At 50.1% G+C, this 22589-nt stretch overlaps 2 long non-coding RNA genes across 2 annotated transcripts in view; both read left to right on the top strand.

Moving 5' to 3' along the window:
- The window catches only part of LOC124904683 (uncharacterized), a 41102-nt gene extending 27208 nt beyond the window's left edge, over window positions 1-13894 (top strand). Inside the window, exon 2 of the long non-coding RNA XR_007067215.1 lies at window positions 12085-13894. This is a non-coding gene — a long non-coding RNA (uncharacterized LOC124904683). The remainder of the gene's footprint in view (window positions 1-12084) is intronic.
- Window positions 1-22589, top strand: part of VSTM2B-DT (VSTM2B divergent transcript) — a 238742-nt gene that overhangs the window by 23678 nt on the left and 192475 nt on the right. The window lies entirely within an intron of this gene.

The following is a 22589-nucleotide window of genomic DNA, read 5'->3' as shown; positions in this document are numbered from 1 at the left end:
GCTTACAGCCGGGTAGGGGGTTGGAGAGGCCGAGAGGATGGGGGGCATCTGGTGGGGTCGGGAGGTCTGGCTGCTGCTCTGTGGGCGTGGTAGGGTGCCTGGGTCTGGGCACTGCCCAGTGACTTGAAGGGTACATCACCTGCCGGCTTCTCCCTCCGACCCCACTCATGGGGGCTCCTGGCATGCTCAGTGGATGAGTGTGTGCTTCTCTGAGGCTGAGGGGTTGAGGGCCCTGCTCAGGGCACATCTTTCTGGGGAGGGGCACCTTTGCCCCCACTTTCTTTCCACTGCACATCAGTGCAGTTCGGGATGAAGCCAGGAAAACACCCTGAGATGGTTTGTGTGTGCGTCCCCGCCAAATCTCATGTTGAAATGTGACCCTCAGTGTTGGAGGTGGGGCCTGGTGGGAGGTGTTGGGTCCGGGGGCAGATCCCTCAGGAATGGCTTGGGCCATCCTGGAGGTAACGAGGGAGTTCTCGCCCTGTTACCTCGCTTGAGAGCTGGTTGTTTAAAGGAGCCTGGCCCCTCCCCGCCTTTCCCACCATGTGACATGCTGGCACCTCCATCACTTTTCCCTATGATTGGAAACTTCTTGAGGCCTCCCCAGAAGCAGATGCCAGCGCCATGCTTCCTGGACAGCCTGCAGAACCGTGAGCCAAATCAACTTCTTTTCTTCATAAATTCTCCAGCCTCAGACATTCCTCTCTGGCAACATAAAACAGACTCACAGTCCCGTCCAGATGCTAAAGCCTGTGCAGGGTCCACACTCAGGGTCTGTTCTTGCCAGTAAGAAGAGCCCAGGGCTGGGCATGGTGGCTTATGCCTGTAATCCCAGCACTTCGGGAGGCCGAGGCAGGTGGATCACCTGAGGCCTGGAGTTCGACACCAGCCTGGACAACATGGTGAAACCCCATCTCTACTAAAAAATAAAAAAATTAGCCGGGCTTGGTGGTGGCCACCTGTAATCCCAGCTACTTGGGAGGCTGAGGCAGGAGAATTGCTTGAACCCAGGAGACGGAGGTTGCAGTGAGCCAAGACCATACCATTGCACTCCAGCACGAGCGACAGAGCGAGACTCTCTCTCAAAAAAAAAAAAAAAGAGCTGACACGGAGATGCTCTGAGGCCATGGCCCTGAAGTGGGCATCATGCACTTTGCTGAGTGCTGTCTTCTTGTTGGCACCAGCAGCATCCTTCCTCTTGGGGGGGACATCTTCCCTTACTCACCATCCAGGTCCTGGGGGCAAGGATGGGGCTGGCACCCAAGGAAGGGCACATGCCCCAAGCTCCAAGCCAGCACCTCAGCAGGAGTTTTCAACTGGGGGCTGAGAAAAGGCCTTGCCCCAGCCTTCATCACCCTAGGGAGGCTGGGAGCTTGTGAGCTGGGACCTGTGGCTGCCACAGCCAAGCTCTTCAGAGGGGACAGGTCTGCAAGCGTGGTGCTGATCCTGGGAAAGGCGGATGAGAGATGGAGACTATCCTGGTGATCCCAGCTGTCCGCAGCATGCCAGCCTTTCCTGAGGTTTGGCCTGTAAACCTACAAGCCCTCCCTCTTCCCTGATCTGGCTCAGGCTGTGTTTCTGTCACTTGTCACCAAGGGTCCTGACTGTCATTCCTACATTAAGACAGATTCGTCCAGCCTCCAAGGCCCCCGCTCCTTGTAATCCTGGTGACCGATGGCAGCAGCCCCATCGTCTGTTCTGTGGCATATCTGTTCCAGTCCCACCACTCGACGAATGTCACTTGTCACCAGAGCATGCTAAGGCAGTCCCCAATCCAATCAAGAGACTGAGGCAGTCCTCAGGGGAACCAGGCTGATGAGAGAATGAAAAGGACAAGAGCCAGCCCCTTCCACTGCACGAGGCACATGGGTCCATCCGAGGGAACGGGGTGGCGGTGAGCTGTTGGCGTCCGGTCACCACCATGGTGCCCAGCTGCACTGTCTTGGAGAGCCCTGACTCCGGCAGAGGTTGGAGCAGGGAGGGCTGGGGCTGCCCTGTGTGTTGGTTCAGCCCATGACACTGATGCTCAGGGCAGCTGGGAGCACAGAGCTGCCCGGGTGTACTGGGACGGTCCACCGCAGAGAGATAGTGCCAGAGCCACCCTGGGCACCCGAGTTCTCCAGGCTTAAAACCTGCTCCTTGCTCCCCATGCACATGTGTCTGTCTCATCTAACCTTATGTCCTGCTTAGGGTTTGGGGAATGGGGTTACCATAGAAACAAGATGTACACAAGTAGCCTCCGTGCTGGGTAGCCAAGGATGCTCGCCATTTAAGAGCCTCTGAGGTCTTCAGGAACTCCGGAGCTGGAGTGGCTGTATCTGCGGGGAGGCAGTTTGCTGAGTGCTGTCATCCCCGCAGGGATGCCCTCCTGAACGGGCCACCCTGGGGCTCTGCTGCACGCTTCCTGGGGAGTCTTCTGAGGGCTGACTCAGTGGTCACAGTGCATCTGAAGGCCTGGACTTCAGGAGCTGCCATGGACCATTTCCCAAGCCCAAGTTGCTCCCTGCATAGTGAGTCTGTGAGGCCTCAGTATCCTTCCTGAAAATCCCCTCTGTGTAAGTTCCCAGAGCCGGCTTCTGATGGGTATACCAGCTGACCCAGTCTTCTAAGAGTCCTCGGCCTCCAGGCGCCTTTGGAGGCTGTCTTATTCAGGCAATTGGTCCTGGGAGAACGGGCATTCATGGTAACCAGCCTCAGTGGCCGGTCTCTTGCAGATCTCTGTATCTCTTACTGAGGAAGTCCCTCCTGCTATCTGACCACACGCCAACCTGCTGCCAAATGTGATGATGATATCACAAACACGCATTTGGGCTCAGCGTTTTAAAGAGGAAGAATCATTCAGAGATCTCACTAATTTTGTCTTCTAAGAACCAGGGGAGGATTCCTCTGGACCAGAAATGGATCTCTTTGTTTCCCATCTTGCTCCACCTCTGTGGGGGTTCTCGTGCCGGAACCTGGTTGTGTCAGGCCTCTCCGATGTCTGGAATCTCGAGCTGTTTCCTGGAGACAGATGGCATTGGTTTTGCATTTGTTCCACAATGCCGTCTCTCAGAAAATATTAACATCAGCTATTGACACGGAGCTCCTCAAAATATCAGCAATGATTTGATCTGCAACTTTGGAAGCTATTTGGTAGGCTGTTCGGCATGGGGCAGTTTTGAAGAATGCACTATCTTTCAAGCAGTTAGGGCGTTGTGGAGAATCATTAAACTGTTGCTTCTTTGGAGTGTGGTCATCTTGCTCCTGATATTTTTGACAGTTTGGCTGTGTTTTAGTTCCTTCAGTAGGAGAGAAAAAGGACTACCAGCTTCACATCATGGCACAGTGGGAAAAGCACTGAGCCAGGAGCCCGCAGGAGTGGCAGCTCTGGTGCTGGCCCTGCTGCCATCTCTTCATGACCTTGGGCAGATCATCTCCCCTCTTTGGGCCTCAGTTTCTCCATTGGTGAAGGGGGAGCTTGATCCATTTCTTCCCTGCATCTCGAGATCAGTGAGATGGTGGGAGGGTCACCGGTGCCTGGATGTAGAACTCAACTGCTTTGTAAGGAAGGAGTTGGCTAGCATGGAAAGTCACCTGGGCTTATTTGACCTTGAGCACCTGAGTGGCCTTCTTTACATGCAAATATAAAAACAAAGGGGATGCCATGGCCCTGCAGAAGGGATCCCGCAGGACCTGCTGTTCTGACCTCACAGAGCTTCAGGGCTGGTAGCTGGGGAAGAGGGAGCTTATTTGTGTAGGACCACCAGTCCTCAGCCCCCTGAGGTCACACCCAGGCCTGGCCTTAGCAACAGGTTCTAGATTCCAGCAAAATGGTTTGTGACACTGAGCTGCCCATGAGGACTCTATGGGAAAGCCCATTATAGCACAGGACAGCTGGGGGACCACGTTGGGTCCAATCTCTGCATGAACTCAGGAATCACAAGGGCTGCCTCCTCCCACGGGCTTCTCATCCCCCAAGACTTCACCGTGCTTTTCTGTGTCATTCTGCTCAGGGAAGTTTGAAATGCCATGCCTGGGGCAGACACTTGAAGAAATCAGCTTGGACAGGAGACATTTAGTGCTAGTTAGAAGGTCAGCCAGTCCTAACTGGCAGGGGTGGCCCAAGGCAGCCTGCTGTCACCAGTGCCCGGCCCTTGTCTAGATGGCCACCTTCCCCCGCTGAGAGGTATGCTCTGAGAGAAGGTGAGCACCCAGGCAGAGCCCTTGCCTGCCTTCAGCTCCTGTAAGCCCCAGAGCCCTGAATGGTGCCAGGCACGTGGAAGGTGCTTCATTCATTCACTCGTTCATTTGTTCGTTCGGTTTTGAACACCCAGCCAGGCGGGGATCTGGGCTGAGGGTGTTCAGAGATAGGCCACATTCAGCTCTTCACCCCGAGCTCACAATTGGCTGGGGAGCCAGGTCCCCATGACATGCATGGGAAGCAGGGAATTCCAGTGGGGACTCAGCAGGCTCATGTGTGCAGGTGCGGGTGGGTGCCTCTCACCCTTGCATTCACCCCATTTGCTTGGGCTTTTGGGAGCCTCAAGCTTCCTCCAACTCACTGTCTGCAAACAGCAGGCTTTGGTGCCAACCACACACAGTAGCCCCTTAGCACCTGCTCCCCTGGGAAAGTCAGCCTGGGCCTTGACCAATGTCCTCTGCAAAGTGTTGCTTGGCCCGACCCCTCCTGCTTTCCACCCCAGAATTTTCCTTCCTAGCAATTAGTGGGAGAGTTGAGACCCTTCCCTCGAGGTCTTTTGAAGCAGAAGTAGGCCCAGGGGCAAAGAGGGTGGCCTCTGTCACCTTGCCAGAGGTGGCTTTTTTGAAGGGTGAGCCTGGTGACTGGATGGGGGCATGTGTTTCGGTCATGTGCAGCCAGTACATGGTAGCATTTTGTTCCCCCAGGTGTCGGCTCAGGGACTTTTGCCACGTGTTGACTGCTTTACTTCATAATTAGCCTTGAGAATTGAGCAGGTGAGATCAATCAGAAACAGTAGTACGCCTAGCAGGGAATTATTTATAGGATAGAGAAGTTGCCAAATCCCAACTGGAAGGGCCTCAGGAACCTGCTTTATTGGGATGCTTGCAGTTATAGCTGAAAAAGAAACATATCATATACTTATAAAGCAAAGATGGCGATTTATCGACTCAGTCAACAAAAGGTCAGGCTTCAGGCATGGCTTGATCCAGGGGCTGGCTCTCTCTCTCTCTCTCTCTCTCTCTCTCTCTCTCTCTGTGTGTGTGTGTGTGTGTGTGTGTGTGTGTGTGTGTGTCTCTCTCCCTGTCTATGTGTCTGTCTACTTTGCTGTTTGGGTTTAATCCAGAGATTCTCCCTTCCCTAGTGATTCTGGCAAAAGTCTTAGAATGAGTGGCCTCAACCAAGTCAAGTCATGTTTCTATACCCGAACCCCTGGCAGTGGCCAGGGGACTGGGGCGTCCTAACTGGCCAGATTGGGGTCATGCATCTCTCAGAACCACAGCGACTTGAGGGTGGTGAAGCATGCTGAGCCCAAGGAATAGCAAGGTGTCGTTTTGGGAGGTGGCAGATCTGGGCAGTAGAAAGACCATGTGTTCTCTGCAGGGGTGATGGAGCCCACCGTCCCCACTGGCAGGCATCCCCTCCACAGCCTCCTGGACAGGGGTGTGTCTGGGCCCTGCCTGGACCCATGAGTGATGGGGCAGCTCTCCGGGCCCTCCTCACGTCGGTCCTGCCCAGCACTGTCCTGGCTGCAGCTCCTCTCACTTGCCACTATCCCAGTTCCATGCTGGGACCTGCACTTCAGGCCTTCCTCAGCTCTGAGAGGCACCCTGGTGCTGAAGAAGCTCTGGGGAGGAGGCCCCAAGCTGCCTCCTTCCCAGAAGGTTGTGCCTAGTCCCTCCACTGCTCTCATTTGACCACATCTGGTCCCTCCAGTCCTGCCCACCCCTCCAGGAGAGCCCCAGCCTTCAGCAGGAGGCCAGCCTTGCCTCAGCAGCCCTCTCCTCCCATACCCTGGACTGGCCACCTCTACCAGTGCCTCCTGGGCGGCAGCAAGCTGCTTGGCCCTGGGGAGGGACTGAGCCTGTCTCTCCCCTCTGTCCCAGGGCATGGAACTAGGCCAGCAGCAGAGGCCTACCCCTGTGCCATTGCTCAAACTCGGCTCAGGGACAGGGGTGCTGCAGGGAGGGGCAACTGAGGGAGTAGCAACTGAAAATAAGACTTTAGGGCGAGACAGGATGGGGCTGAGATCCTGTTTCTGACTCGACTACTAGCTGGATGCCCTTGGGCAAGTTTCTGAACCCACCTGAGCTCATCTACACTTCATCAACCAGCAGCCAATAATGGGGTCTGACACGGGGGGTGTGCCTGGGCCTCGGGTGGAAGCCTCTACCGTCCAGCCCAGTACCATGTGCCATTTTTTTTTTTTTGATATGGAGTCTCGCTCTGTCACCCAGTCTGGAATGCTATAGCGCAATCTCGGCTCACTACAACCTCCACCTCCTGGATTCAAGCGATTCTCCTGCCTCAGACTCCCAAGTAGCTGGGATTACAGGTGTGTGCCACCAAGCCCGGATAATTTTTGTATTTTTAGTAGAGATGGGGTTTCACCATGTTGGCCAGGCTGGACTTGAACTCCTGACCTTAGGTGATCCACCTGCCTCAGCCTCCCAAATTGTTGGGATTATAGGTGTGAGCCAGCATGCCCGGCCCATATGCCTATTCTTAATTTACCATTGCTAATGAGAGTTCACTGCATGCTGGAACCTCAGAGCCGCAGGCCCTCTTATTCAATAGGGGAAAACAGAGTCCCAGAGACTGGGGGAGACTTGCCCAGGGTCGCGCAGTGAGGCCAGGGAAAGCCTGGTCTTCTGACCCCCAGCCCAGGGCTCTGACCACTGTGACCTCAGGGATGGCCCATTGACTCCTGTCAATTCCTGTGTTGATTTCTGAAGTGAATCCAGGGCTATGGAAGAGAAAAGGGGAGACAAAAGCTGAACCCTTTTCAGGCAAAATCATAGCCTGATAAGGAGTCTGTTGTGTCAAATATCCCCCCACCTCCTGAGGCGCCTCAGAGAGTCAGAGTCAGAGCAGCCCCTGGCTGGCGTCACCACACTGCTGCAGGGATGTGGGTGTCTAGGAAGGTGGCCACTGATGAGAGGGGCTTGGGCCTTGTGAAGGCAGATAAGAGAGTTGGACATTCAGGCCTAAGAGCTTTGGCGCACTTCCTTCCTTCCTTCCCTCCCTCCCTCCCTCCTCACCCCTTCCTTTCCTTCTTCTTTCCCTCCCTCCTCACCCCTTCCTTTCCTTCTTCTTTCCCTCCCTCCCCACCCCTTCCTTCCTTCCCTCCATTTCTCCCTCCCTCCTCACCCCTTCCTTCCTTCTCTCCCTCCGTTCCCACCCTTTCCTTCCCTTCTTCCCTTCTTCCCTCCTTACCACCCGTTCCTTCCTTCCCCCCCTCCCTGCCCACCCCTTCCTTCCTTCCCTCCTTCCCCACCCCTTCTTTCCTTCCCGCTCTCCCTCCCCACCCTTTCTTTCTCTCCCTCCCTCCCCACCCCTTCCTACCCTTCTTCCCTGCCTCCCTCCTTCCCTTCTTTCCTCCCCTCCCTCCCCATCCCTTCCTTACTTACCTTCCTCCCTCCCCACCCCTCCCTCCCTTCCTTCTTTCTTTCCTTCTTTCCCTCCTTCCTTCCTTTTCCTTCTTTCCTCCCTCCTTCCTTCCTTTCTTCCCCTTTTCTTTCCTTCCTTCCTTCATTCCTTCCTTCCTTCTTCCCTTCCTCCATCCCTCCCTCCCTTCCTTTCTCTCCCTTAAAAATAATGCCTTTATTACTTCTACAAAAATATTACATGTTCATAAATGATTCAAGTGAAAGAGAAGCAAAAATAAAAGAAAAAAGAATAATTATACACAATTCAACATCTCACTATCCAGAAATAATTGTTAAAATTAACTAGTGGTCGTTCCAGATGTCTCTCTAGGAATATATCAGATACATGAATAGGAGCAGTGTGATAAAGTGGAACAATTTCAATTTAATTTTATTTCTTAGAGACAGGGTCTCTGTCACTCAGGCTGGAGTGCAGTGGTGTGATTATGGCTCCCTGCAGCCCCAAACTCCTGGGCTCAAGCGATCCTCCTACCCCAGCCTCCTGAGTAGCTGGGACTACAGGCATGCACCTCCATGTCTGGCTAAGTTTTATAAAGTTTTAAAATAGAGATGGGTGTCTTGCTATGTTGCCCAGGCTGGTCTCTAACTTCTGGCCTCAAGAGATCCTCCTGCCTCAGCCTCCCAAAATACTGGAATTACAGGCAGGAGCCACTGTGCCTGGCCCACATACTCCTTTAAAATAAAATGGTTGAATTTTTCTTAGTTAATAGCAGCAATGAAATATCTGAAGTGAAACTGAGACAATGGTTGAATTTCAGAGCAATGTTTCTTTGCCTCAAAAAACCATCGTTCTTAAAAGAGTTCTGAAGATTGAGGGAAAAAAGGTTATGGAAAAAATAAGCTGGGAGTCATTTTATTTAAAGGATGTTTCCATTCTAGACAATTTCAACGGGCTCTGTGCTGTTGAAAGGTGAGGAAATTAGGAGTTTTTTGTTTTTTTTTTTCCTGAAGGTCCCCTACTAATTTTTGTTCACTAGTCTTTTTACCTTGTCTATATTTATAATGTTTGGATTCTCTTCTGCAGAGTTTCTTTTAATTCTACATTTTGTTGCATTCAGTTCTCATCATTTTTTTCATGACTTTTCCATTCCAAGGCTTTTTCCTCTATGTTGAGGCTCTATTTTATTGTGAAATGGTTTTTCTTTCTTTTCAAGCATCATGGGTTCTGTGTTGCCTGTGTCCTTCATGCTAGAGAATGCCTGTCTCTTGATTTTTATATTTTAAGGACAACTTGAAGCATATTTGGTTTTCCCTTTAAAGCTGCCTTTCCATGGGTTTTGCACTAGTGTGAGGATTCCCTCCCCCTCCCTTTCTTTCCCTGCATCTTCCCTCCCCCAACCCCAATATCCAGTTTCCTTTTCCTTGTGATTCACTTTGCCCGGATGTAACTATCACAGAGATTTTAAAGACACGCACATGGCTGCGGCACTCCCTGAGTTCTTCCAGGCTCTTTGAGAATGTTTGCCTGTGGCTTTTTGGCTCCAATGACAAGTCAGATGACCACAGCATTACGGGTTCCTATTTTCACTGTGATTTGTGGATGTTGCTCCGTTACCCTCTGGATGAAACTTGCCGAGGAAGAATCTGAATCCAGCATGATTTTATGAGTCCTCCCTTCCCCCGAAAATTCTTCTTTTTCCTCTGTGAGTGCATGAAGAATTATTTTCTTTCTTTAACCATTGTATTTCCTGATGCTCGTCATTTCCAATAAATTTTTCTTGAACATGTTGTGCCTTTTGGATATAAACATAAAGTCCTTCACCTTGAAACAAATGTCCTATATTATGTCTTTTGATGCCTTTCTTCTTTCATTTGTCACTCATGCCCCCAGACCAGGCAGGAAGGAAATAGGTGTGAAAAAGTGGGAGTGCTCTCACACTCATTTTAAAAGGCACGTCTGTTCCAGGCACCAACATCAGAGAAAAGCGGCCAAAGACTACGGTGAATGAAACTCAATTTAGGAACAAACATTACTGATAAAATATTAGTCTATCAAATCAAGAATGTGATCACAAGAAAAATACATACAGCGTGTTCCAGTGTGACTTATTCCAGCAACAAAGGAATGGCATTAGGAAATCTACTAATGTAATTTACTCCATTGGTAGATTAAACCATGTGACTCCAAATAGAGGCTGAAGTAGCATTCGATGCAATTTAACACCCATTCATGATTAAAAAGAAAAGATGATTAGCTGTCTTAGCCAGTTCCTACTTACTGTCCATTTGGGAGGGAGCCTGGAGAGCCACCGTGGCTGCTGGAAGAGCAGTTTGGAGAGTGGCCAGTTGTTCCAGTTTGCTTGGGACTGAGGGTTTTCCTGGGATGGGGGACTTTCAGCTCTAAAACTGGCAACCTGGGATGGGGGTCGCCACATTGAGGGTGTTGGCAGCAGCTCAGCAACAGAGGAATTAAAGAATGATTAAATTGTTCTGCAGAAGAAAATGAGTTTTTTTTTTGTTGTTGTTCTCTAGAGGGAGGGAGACGAGAGAAAGAGAGGCAGAGGATTGAGGAAAGGGGCAAGAGGGTGTGAGGGTGGTGTGGATGTGGGTGAGAGTGCAGGCCAAGGCTGTTTTAAGAACAGTGGTGCCTGATGCTAAGTGTGTCTTTGCAATGAGAGCTAGAGAGCCCCATCTCCACCTCCTCCCCTGCGGCAGGTACTGGTGGTGCCCAGATTAGCCCCAGTTCCTGAGCTGCTGCTCCCTGCCCTGGCTGCTGTGTGTTGGCTGTTGCCCTTCATATAGTTTGGATGTCTGTCCCCTCCAAGTCTCATTTTGAACTGTGATCCCCAATGCTGGAGGTGGAGCCTGGGGGGAGGTGTTTCATAGGAGTGGATCCCCCATGAACGGCTTGGTGCTGTCCCCTTGGTGATGAGTGAGTTCTCGCTCTGTTAGTTACCAGGACATCTGATGGTTAGAAAAAGAGCCTGGCACCTCCTCCTTTCTCTCTTGCTCCCTGTCTCACCACAGGACACATCTGTTCCCTCTTCTCCCACCGTGAGTGGAAGCTTCCTGAGGCTTCACCAGAAGCAGATGCTGGTGCCATGCTTATTATATAGCCTGCAGCACCATGAGTCAAACAAACCTCTTCTCTTTATAAGTTCCCCAGCCTTGGGTATTCCTTTATAGCAACACAAAGTGGATGAACACACCCCAGAATCACTTTGTTCTCACTACACCCCCTGCTCCCCATAGCTCACAGCTGAGTGACAAAGGAGTACAAAACCCTGGCCCTCTTTCTGTCCTGCTAAGGACACAACCCAAGTCTACTCCCTTCAACAAAGCCTGCAACACTTAGAAAGTTGTGTGTGCGGCCAGGAGCGGTGGCTTGCGCCTACTGTAATCCCAGCACTTTGGGAGGCCGAGGCAGGTGGATCACCTGAGGTCAGGAGTTAGAGACCCACCTGGCCAACATGGTGAAACCCTGTCTCTACTAAAAAATACAAAAATTAGCTGGGCATGCTGATGGTTACCTGTAATCCCAGCTACTTGGGAGGCTGAGGCAGGAAAATGGCTTGAACCCAGGAGGTGGAGGCTTCAGTGAGCTGAGATCACACCACTGCACTCCAGCCTGGGCAACATAGCAAGACTCCATCTACAGACAAACAAACAAACAAACAGTTGTGTGTGCATGTTGAGGATGGGGCTGGGTGTTCTCATTTGAGTCAACGTGGTGAGGAACAGAGACAGTGTCAGGGAAGCAGGATTCTGGGACAGGGATGAGCACAAGGATTTGCAGTGATCTTGGGGAGGGCCTTGGACTTACACAGAGTACAGAGTTGGAGCTCAGGCCAGTCTTACCCAGACCTCAGTGGGAAGGGAGGCTCCTGCCTCCCTCTGCGGTGCATACATGAGCACATGGTGACTCGATGGGGTCAAGGAATTTGTCTAACATCCCCAAGTAAGAGTCCAGGCTGAGTTTAAAAACTCAGTCTGGAGGAGTCAAAACTTGAGCTCTAATCACCAGGCTGACCTGCTGGATGTGTGACTCTGGACTGGCTCCGTCCCCTCTCTGGGCTTCAGTTTCCCCAAGGAGGCTACAGGACCAGGGAGCCTCCAGGAGCATTTCCACTTCTGATGCCAGTTTTGGAGGAAGTGCTGTGGTTGCTTGGAATGGGTGAGGGACTCGAGTTTCATAGGACACTGTAGGTAGGCTGGCTGATGGCGAAGGTGGAGGATGAGCTGGGGTTTAGGACTCACAGGCAGTGTAGCTTATTGCACACCTTTTTCTTTAAGGACAGCATCTGCTTCTAAGTAGGTTACGCTTGCTGTGGCTTGTTTGCATCTTTCTTTGCTTAGAAAGCAAACCCTTTCTTCTAAGCTAAGCTTCCTCTTAGGCCTATGGGATTAGCACATAGTCCAGATTAATGGGGTCCAAATTAATGTGATTTATCATCATGGTTTTCAAAAGATGTGGTCTACTTATACAGCTACCACTTTTTTTTTTGGACCCAAATTTAGGACACTTGGACCAACAAAAGATATTTTCTTCTCAGTCATGCATGCAAATATATGGAAGATCTTAGAAAATTGTGGAAAGTGGGGCATACTGAACAAAATCACTGCCATCAGAGAGAATGAAGTGATGCAAGATCAGGATGTGTCAGGAAGCCCAGGCGTGTGTCGCCACGTTGATCTCTGTGTGAAATAGGACGGACTCAGTACCTGCAGCTAGACAACGCTGGAGAAACTCCAAAGGACTGAGTGCCGCCCAGGCTTCAGGAGAGTAAGACAACAGACACTATGCACTTTTCTAATGTGGCCGGCACTCTGTGCTTGCAATCACATATGTGCCACAGACAGGATTTCTATCAAACAAACAAGAAGAACAGATGGATGCCAAGCCCGTTGTCACTTTCCTGGTGCGTTTAACAGGAGCCAGGGGAGAAGTCCAGTTTGGGGCGTCTTGGGAAGTTTCCACATCATCCATGAAATTCTGTGGTGGACTTGTCACCCACACCATGGGTGGGTTTGATGGCTTGGTGGTCGGCAGTGCAATGACCACAACCATGTTGGCTTTTATTACTCACAACACCGGGGATCGTTCCCAGAGCAGTGCTTTTCTAAACACTGGAGAAAGCAGGGCTTGCATTGGGCTGGGGAGCTGAGTCATTGCATGCAGAGGCGGAGTCAAGGCGATCGTAGATCATGCTTCCACATATGTTGCATGTAGAGAAAACAGCCTCCTCTCTGGCCATGGATTCTAGTATGGTAACTAGGAGAGTTCCCCAGAGTTCATCTCTGGATCCAATCAGTTTTTGTTTTACCAGAGATGAGCTTTTTGCTGGAAATTTTTGAAACAACAACTCAAGGTGCAACCGTTACTGGTGGGTACTTTTTTTTTTTTTTTTTTCTGAGACTGAGTCTCACTCTGTTGCCCAGGCTGGAGTGCAGTGGCTCGATCTCAGCTCACTGAAACCTCTGCCTCCTGGGTTCAAGTGATTCTCCTGCCTCAGCCTCCTGAGTAGCTGGGATTATCGGTGTGTGCCACCATGCCTGGCTAATTTTTCTATTTTTAGTAGAGACAGGGTTTCTCCATGTTGGGCAGGCTGGTCTAGAACTCCTGACCCCAGGTGATCTGCCTGCCTCGGCCTCCCAAAGTGCTGGGATTATAGGCATGAGCTACTGTGCCCGGCCACTAGTGGGTAGTTTTGCACTGTGTGTAACCCCAAACCTGGGACCCTGGGATACAGACTGATGACCAAGACAAATCCAGTGAAGAATTACGGATCTTTGGACTCATCTCCAACTGTTTCTGGGCTCAGCTGGCATGAGAAAGGAGTCTCAGAATGCCCAGCTCCACCAGAGGTGCCCAGCACCTCCCCTCACTCCACACTTAGGAAGCAATGTCGTTTCCTGTGCCAGTCAGCTCTAAATGATTATGTAATTACATTTGTGAATGTAATCCTGTGGGGCATCATTCTAATTATAGCCCACAATCCTTTCTAGCAGTGTTCAGAGAAATAATATGTGCGATGAAGTGGGGCTGCTCTGTGTACTGCAAGAATGTCCAGGAACCTGAGCACATGCGGTCGCACCTGCCCCCTGGAATCCACATGCCCTTGGCTCTTTCTTAAAAAGCGGATCAAAGGGTCCAGTCCATGGCAGCCACTTCTCAGGGCAGGTGCAATTCAGTGCATGCTTTAATTGCAGGTCCCCAAAGAACTTTGCAGACATTCTTTTCTCGTTGTTCATGATGCATTCTTTAAAGTAATTTTGAGTGAATTTTATGGTATGTAAATTATGCCTCAATAAATTTGTTAAAAATAAAGTGGTTATTAAGTTAATTATAATCAACACAGACATGTGTGGGTCACACAGACAATCACTGCTGCAGGCCAAGGGTGGATCATATGAGATGAGGATGATCTGGAAGGTTCTGAGGTGGACACTGAAGGATTCTAAAAATTGCTTAGCAGGTGTGTTCAAATGGAACGCTAGCAGACATTCGCATATAATATGCTGTTTCTCTTCCGTTTTTCCTTCCTTTCCTCTTTTCTTCCTTCTGTTTTCTTTCCCTTCCTCTTCTTTTTCCCTGTCCTTCGTTTCCTCCTCTTCCACCTCCCCTACTTCCTCAGCATCTCTTATTATTTTGGCCTTGCTTCTTGATAAGAGTGGGATCTTTCCAATAGTGCTAACGTTTTGTAGAGATTATTATTTGACGTGCACTCACTTCAGGCCCCACATGACAGTAAGCTTCCTGGAGGGCTCCATGGTCTGGCCTCTGTCCCCAGGGAGTTTATTCATTGACTGCTGGCAGAGGAGACACCACCACAAGCACAAGGAGGCTCTCGGTCTTCAGTCATGCGCCCTGTGGTCACAGGTGCCAGGGAGTCAGCTGCCCTGACTAACGTGTCAGGGGGCCCACCTCAGCCAGCACTGGAGTCAGCGGGTTCCTCTGCCACACTCATGCAGACAGCATGCTGTGTTCCTCAAAATCGCTCATTTTCAACTTTCTGTAGTACTTGATTCAGGCTTTCTGCCCTCATTATGGTCTTTTCAGTTCATGGACATTTTGTTTGTTTGTTTTTGAGATGGAGTTTCACTCTTGTCACCCAGGCTGGAGTGCAATGGCGCAATCTGAGCTCACTGCAACCTCTGCCTCCTGGGTGCAAGCGATTCTCCTGCCTCAGCCTCCTGAGTAGCTAGGGTTATAGGCACGTGCCACCACGCTCAGCTAATTTTTTTTTTTTTTTGTATTTTTAGTAGAGATGGGGTTTCACCATGTTGGCCGGAATGCTCTTGATCTCTTGATCTTGTGATCTGCCCGCCTCGGCCTCCCAAAGTGCTGAGATCACAAGCATGAGCCACCGCGCCTGGCCTTGCATGGGCAATTTTGTAAAATAAATTATACTTTTAATATTTAATGATTATTGTTAGTATGAATTCACCTAATTATCACCATCATCGGTTCACCTTTTCAAATAATCTGTGTTGGTTACAACAAACCTTATATGTATGGTGGTGATTTAGTTAGTTTTTGAATCTGGCATCTGGGGTTGAGAGAGAGAGAGAGAGAGAGCACACGCAGGTGTTCTGTCAGAGATTTTTCTGTCTGATTGGTTGGACTTGTTCTAGTGGGTGGGGTCAAGGATACTCATTCACAAGTTTTAGTCTGGCTCTGACATTGAAGTTGTGCTACATTCATTTAATGTTTTACATAGAAAATAATTTTACGTAGAAAATAGTTTTTGATGTCAGGAAATATTCTATAATGTTTATTTAAACAGATTCCATAAGTAAAATGATCTACAGCAGAGTCTCAAGCATCTGTATTGCCTTACTGTGTGCAAACTGTCTGTGGGTAAATGAAATGGGAACCTGAGCATTTATTTTGCTCAGGTGGAGACAGAAGCCTCTTTCTTTCTCCTACTTTCTTGTGCTACATTTTATCTCCTTTTTCTAATGATTGAGTAGACTCTTCAGTTCATTTATTTTTATTCTCGTTTAGTCATGAGATCAAACAAGGCTATTCATTTTCCTCTGAGTCTACTTTTGGTTGAATCCTGTAAGCTTTGATTGATGCTAAGATTGTCATTCTTTTCTAAATAGTGTGCAAATTCTATTTAACCCAAGAGTTTTGTAGGAGACTTTTAGATTTTTTAAATTAAAAAAACCTAAATGGGCTAGGCGCAGTGGCACATGCCTGTAATCCCAGCACTATGGGAAGCCGAGGTGGGTGGATCAGCTGAGGTCAGGGGTTCGAGACCAGCCTGGCCAACATGGTGAAACCCCGTCTCTACTAAAAATACAAAAAATTAGCTGGGCATGGTGGCAGGCGCCTGCAATCCCAGCTACTTGGGAGGCTGAGGCAGGAGAATCACTTGAACTTAGGAGGCAGAGGTTGCAGTAAGCTGAGATTACACCATTGCACTCCAGCCTGGGCAACAACATAGAAACTCCGTCTCAGAAAAAAAACAAAAACAAAAAACCAAAACACACACACACGCAAACACACACACACACAAAACCCTAAATGATTAGGTTTTTAACATTAAACATTAATTATTCTCATCTAGTTTTATTATATTGTGATGAAAGAATGTGGCCCATATCATTTTATATGATTTTGGAACTTATAGAGGGTATTTTTTGTGGTCAAAAGTATTTATTTTGGTCATGAATGCTGAAAAAGTAGATGCATTTTCTGTAGCAAATCAAATTTATTAACTTATAGTCAGATTTCCTATATTTTTTGTTCATCTTGGTTTTTGCTAACTTATCCTGTCCATGGCAGACCAGGTGGGCTGAGTGGGGGCTCTGTGTCCCAGGGGCCACGGTGGTGGACTGGTGACAATGTGGACCTGTCCATCCATCCTCTCTTCCTTGCAGTCCTGCATGGGGAAAAGAGCTCGGGAGTGAGGTAATGTGGATTTGAATCCTGGCTTCAGCCACCCCTCACCATTGTGGCCGGGCCATCTGTGAAGTGGGAATGGGAGCATGAACCGGGCAGGGATGGAGGGAGAATGAAGTAGGACAAGGATAGGGAAGTCTGCCCCCTCCCCTTGCAGCCCCGCTCTCATCCCAGTAGCTCCTATCCGCCCCATACCATGCATCCCTGAAAGCTGCCCCTGCATCCGGGTTGATAAAAGACAGACAGCCCTGGAGGTGGAGTAATGCAGACCTCCTCCTCAGGTGGGCTGGGGGCTGTTGCAGACCTCTGAGTTTTCAGGCATAGTTGGGAGGTTTTGGGGACTTTTCCAGGATCCCCTTTCAAATCCTACCAGGCTGGAGGCTTTCTGTTAGCCTCTGACTTAGGACAGTCTTACCAGGCCAAGACCTGCTCCTGGGATACGTGCCTCACAGTTAGGAGTCCCTGCAGGACTTCCAGGCGGTCAGCACCACACCAATGGGGATCCCGTAGATATGGGAAGCAGCTGCAGTTGTAACAGGACCCAGTTCGGCTGTGTACTGCTTAAACATCAAACACAAGGGGTGAGAGTTGGTGGGAGGAAAAGCAGGTTTATTCAGACCAGCCAGCAAACCACAAAGATGGCGGACTAGCGTCCTAAAGTACCATCTTTAGTTAGGACACATTTCAGGTTCTTTTTAAGTTAAGGGCAGGGAAAAGAAAAGGGGGCTGGGATTAAGAGGTGGTAGAGGACTTCAGACGTTTGGGCACCAGCGAGGTTCCGAGGAGGTTGGGAACACATTTGTCCTCGGTCAGGTGGCAATACTCCTGTAATCTTTAACAAAACATAGTTGGTTGTTGACAGACTTCCCTTTAGCCTCAGTGTTAGCTTAAAAAAAACGACATGATTGCTGTTTTTGCGTAATTTAACTCAGTGCTCTAAAATTATCTTAGCCTGTGGGCAGCAATGGGTCAAGGCCCCTTAAACAAAAATGGAGTGAGTGACGTTAGTTCTTTTGCTGTTTCACTGTTAGTCATCTAGTGGTCTGGGGGAGACAGGAACCTGGGTCCCCAGTGCCATGGCCCATGGGCTCAGCCCATCCTGCTGTTCCAGCCCAGTGCCTTCCCTGAGCTCCCAGGCCCCAGGGAGGGTAGGAATGGGAGCTCACTGGGTGCAGATCCAGGAGAGGCCGGCTGGCTCCTCACTGTCCCTGAAGCAGGAAGCTCCAGGTAAATCAGAGTCAGCTGGCAGCCCCTGGTGAGGTCAGAGGTGCAGCTGACATGCGCATGCTGCAAAGGCCGAGATTTAGGCCGAGGAAGAGGCCAGGAGCTCCAGAACCCCTGCCAGGCTCACTCTCTGCCTCTGCTGCCTATAGCCTGAGACTGCTAGAGGGGATCCCATGCCCTGCCAGGCCTCACAGGAGTCCTCCCCACACCTCCTCTCTGCAGAGCCTTTCTACGGCCCAGAGTCAGAAGGCCTGATGTGGTGTCTGCTCTGTTGTGAGACTCTGGCCTCAGCTTCATCATCTGCAAAATGGGGCTGGACAGACCTCTTCTTCCTCAGGATCAAACATGATGGAGGCTGAGGGACTTTGGAAAGGGTTGGGGGGACATCGAGGGGCTCTGAGTAATGGCAGAGAAAGCACCTTAGGGTTTCTGGGCCCGGCTGCCTGCACCCATCACTCAAGCATCCATCCTGACCCCTGGAGACTCCAGCTGTTTTAAAGGAATATGTCTCCATCCTAGGTCACCTTTGTCACTGCTGGGGGCAGCCTGACACAGCATTTCAAAGAATCAGCTGAGGTCAGATAGACCTGGCTGCGTGACCTCAAATGAGTTCCGTAAGCTCTCTCGGCCGCGGTTTCCTTACCTGGGAAATGGGCCCTCCTTCAGAGGGTTGATATGGGCAGGAAATGACAGTGTGCAAGGAGTGCTCAGGATGGCACAGGATGGTACATGCTCTGCTGTGAGATGAGTGCTGGCATCGCCTCCCCAGGCAGTGGGCAGGCCCTGGAACACTGCACTGAGGGGCGGGGGGGTGGTGCCCTCCAGCCTTTCTCTTTCCCCAGATTTTATCATGATGAGTGGGATTGTTCCTGGGGAGCACAGTGGGAAAGGAATGGGCTGCTGGGAATGATGTTAGCCTATTTTTAACTAGAGATTTTCCCTGTTGTGAGCCATTTGCACAAATTTCTCCTGACACCAGTCCCTCTCACATCCACCCCTGCTCACCTCCAGTCCTTGGTTTATCATGGCCCTTGTTCTGATCCTCCCAGGAACAGTAAATTGGGCTGCTGAGGCCCCAGACAATGAAACACCCTGACATGTAATCGTTTCCCCACTGTCCTCTTGTAAGTCTTTGCAGCCCCTCCAAGATCTTTCCCCATCCAAGAAATAAATCAGGGTCTCTTCTATTCACATGGAGGAGCCTATGTTCTCCTATGGGGTTGTCTTTGCAAACTGGCAGCAATGGACAAGAAGAGAACCGCGAGACATGCCCTGAACTGGAGCCTGGGGCAGGAAGACGCTGCCCAGGATAGCATCTGTACAGCTTGGCACCTTCTTGGCAGACTCACCAGGTCAGCTGGTCAGTTTCCTGGCAGACACCACCATCCCACAGAAACATCTCACAGTCTTACCTCCCTGTGAGGACTTTAAAATCGGTTTTTATTTTGGCATCATTATAGATTGACAGGAAATTGCAAAGACAGCAGTAAGAGAGGTCCCTAAAGATAGAAAACCAGTGCACCCTTCACTTGCTTTTCTCCTGGTCACATCTTATGAAACTGGAACTGAACCCAGGTTCAGCTGCTCCACACTTGAAAGCCAACTTTGGGAGACAAGACTTGGTAGAAGGAAAAGCAGGTTTATTCAAGAGACAGCAACCTGAGAAGACAGTGGGTTAGTGTCACAAAGGTCGTCTCAAGTCAGCACACATTTCAGGCTCTTTTGATGTTGAGGGCAGGGGGAAAAGAAGGGAGTTGGGATCAAGACGTGTGACCAGCTGCAGACATCTGGGTGCCTGTGAAGGTCCCAGGAGGTTGGGAACTCCTCTGTCCTAGGTCAGGTCACAGTGCTCCTATAAATCTTGAACAAAACACAATTATTTACACACTTCCCCTTCAATCGCAGAGTTAGTTTCTGCCCAAATCCTTGGGAGTTCACCCCTTGCATCAGCGTGCCCTGGATATGAAACATGGAGTCAAAGGAGATTATTTTGGAGATTTAAGATTTAATGAGTGCCCTGCCAGGTTTTGGACTTACATGGGGCCTGTGGCCCCTTGGTTTTGGCCAATTTGGAATGAGAGCGTTTGCTCAATGCCTGTACCGTTATTGTATCTTGGAAGTAACTAACTTGTTTTTGAGTTTACAGGCTCATAAGTGGAATGGACTTGCTTTATCTCAGATGAGACTTCGGACTTGGACTTCTGAGTTAATGCTGGAAAGAGTTAAGACTTTGGGGGACTGTTGGGAAGGCATGACTGGTTTTGAAAGGCAAAAAGGACATGAGATTTGGGAGGGGCCGGGGCAGAATGATATGGTTTGGCTCTGTGTCCCCACCCAAATCTCATGTCAAATTGTAATCCCCACATGTTAGGGAGGGACCTGGTGGGAGGTGACTGGATCATGGTGAGGGTTGGGGGGTTCCCCCGTGCTGTTCTCATCATAGTGAGGGAGTTCTCATGAGATTTGATGGTTTAAAAGTGGCACTTCCCCCTTCACTCTCTCTCCTGCTGCCTTGTGAAGACGGTATTTGCTTCTCCTCCACCTTCTGCTATGATTGTAAGTTTCCTGAGGCCTCCCTAGCCATGCAAAACTGTTAGTCAATTAAACCTCTTTTCTTCATAAATTACCCAGTCTTAGGTAGTTCTTTAAAGGAATGCAAAGATGGACTAATACAGTTTCAAGAACTACATGAATGCAATTTTTGCATTTTATCTCAGTGCTTTAAAATTATTCTAGCTGACCTGCAGGAACAGGTAAAGGCCCCTTAAACAAAAATGGAGTGAGTGCTGTTAGTTCTTTTGCTGCTCCACTGTTACATAACTATGGCACGATATAAAAAACTAGGAATTTGACATTGGCACAATGTGTGTGTGTGGTCCCTGTTATTTAATCATGTGGGCTACACAAGTGCATTTTCATACTCCTCCTTGTGTCTGTGGCCCAGCCTTCTTCTGGGCCCTGTGGGAGAGAATTCCAGACCCGAGGCCACTGTATATGCATTTCTGGGCATAAGGGGGGCCCAGCAAGTTTGAGCCCTTCCTGACCCCAAGGAGCACTTGGTCCAGATTCCTGCCTAGACTCTACAGATGTGTTACCAAAACACCAGGTTTTGGTTTAGGTCCTGTTGCTTGCCACACAGAAAGCCAGTGACCGAGACAATGAGTAGTGCCAGGGAAGAAGGCTTTTTCGGGTGTTGGGGCTGAGGAGACAGTAGATCAGTCTCAAATCCATCCTCCCAATTGACTAAAATTGGGAGTTTATGTAGTAAGGAATAGGCTTCCAGAGGGGTAAAGAAGAGGATTTTCAGTTTCTTGATACTATCCAGGAGGCCTGAAGGTTGGTTTCCTGGGAAAGGAACTCAGATAAGACAAATGTAAGTTTCATGCTTTAAGACTGGGAGGGTCAATTTCTATGTTTATGAAAATAAATCCATAAACATCAGTTCTATGGGGAACCTGGCTGGTTTCAGATGCCTCAGGCAGCCTCCGCAGGGTCCAGCCTCAGTGCTCTGCAGGTGTTTATGGGGTGGGTGAGTGGACAGCAAGGGGCTGACTGGGAGTGTGTGGGATGGACATGTGGAAAAGTGTGTCATCAGGAGCCCGGGCTCCTGGCCTGGCTCTGCTTGGTGGCCCTGTCTGAGGCTCAGGGTCCTAGCTGGGAACATGGGAACAGCACAGCAGCCCTGACCCCTCCGGGGGCCTGCACCGCAATGGATGTGACTCCTCATGTGAGCAGACGCTTTCCTGCCTCTTCCTGGATTCCGGGTGCTGGACTCCCCTGCTGAAGCTGAGGTCATGAGGGATGGGACAGTTTATAACAGATCTTCAGGCCCAGACGGAAAGAACTGGGATTTTAGCCCAAGTGGTAAGGGAGGGGTGCCAGCCACTGTGTAGGACTCAGTCCCTCCTCCTTTCCCTCCTGATCTGGTCCTCTGGGGGAGGGTCTGGACACTGCTGAGAAGCACTGATACTCTGCTTTATGAGGTGGGTTTATGGAGGGATTAAAAGGCCCCAAAAATAATGGTAGGGGTGGCAAAGTGGGCAGAGAGCAAGAGCTGGTTGGCTTCTCTCCTGACAGAGGTCAGTGGCTACATATTGGTCTCTGAGGGCAGTGGGTCTCGCTGGCCACATGCCAGTGGCTTCAGGGGAGGCTGTGAAAAAGAGGCTAGAGAGACTCTCCCGGGTCTCCGCCCTGTGGGGAACAGCCATGTAGGTCACTCTTGGCCCTGCACAAGGGCAGGTGTGCCCCACAGCAGCTCTCCTTGGCTGTGGCCATGTAAGGGGTCCATGGCAGTATCCTCCTGCCAACTCCTGGCTGCTGAGCATGGGGGACTCTGTTCATTCTCCCAGGACTTTGCCAAGACTGCAGAGCTGGGTTAGTGTGAGGAGAGGTGGGGTGGCACCCCTCCTGAGGAGTGTGGGCCCTTGGTTCCAACTTTTCTCTCCCACATGATCCCTAAATCTTCATGGCTGCAGCTCAGGCCATGATGGGTCTTTCCCTGGGGATGTTTCAGGGAGTGTCTTGGTGAGGGGTTGCAGGCACACCCAGGGATCCAGCGTACTCTAGTTCCCAGACCTGCTGACCTCTCTACCCTGTGAGTGCCAGGACCCTGGGCAGCCCATCACTGTCCCACTGTGCCCTTGCTCTTCACTCCTCACTCTTTCCATTTTGCTCAGGGGTGATGAGTTTATCTGCACAGCCTCTCAAAACTCAGGGATCATTTAGGCTTCTTTTTCTACATCCTTGCAGATTAAGGATCCTGGAAGTGTTGGGCTCAATTAAGGATCCTAGAAGTGTTGGGCTCAAGGCTGTCTCTAAAATAATATTTTCCAGAAAGAAAGAGTGTAGAGGAAGGGTCACGCATAGAACTCCATGTGGCCTCTGGAGT

The sequence above is a fragment of the Homo sapiens genome, chromosome 19 (assembly GCF_000001405.40).
Source record: "Homo sapiens chromosome 19, GRCh38.p14 Primary Assembly".
Taxonomy (NCBI): Eukaryota; Metazoa; Chordata; class Mammalia; order Primates; family Hominidae; genus Homo; species Homo sapiens.
This window is presented reverse-complemented; position numbering and strand designations above follow the sequence as displayed.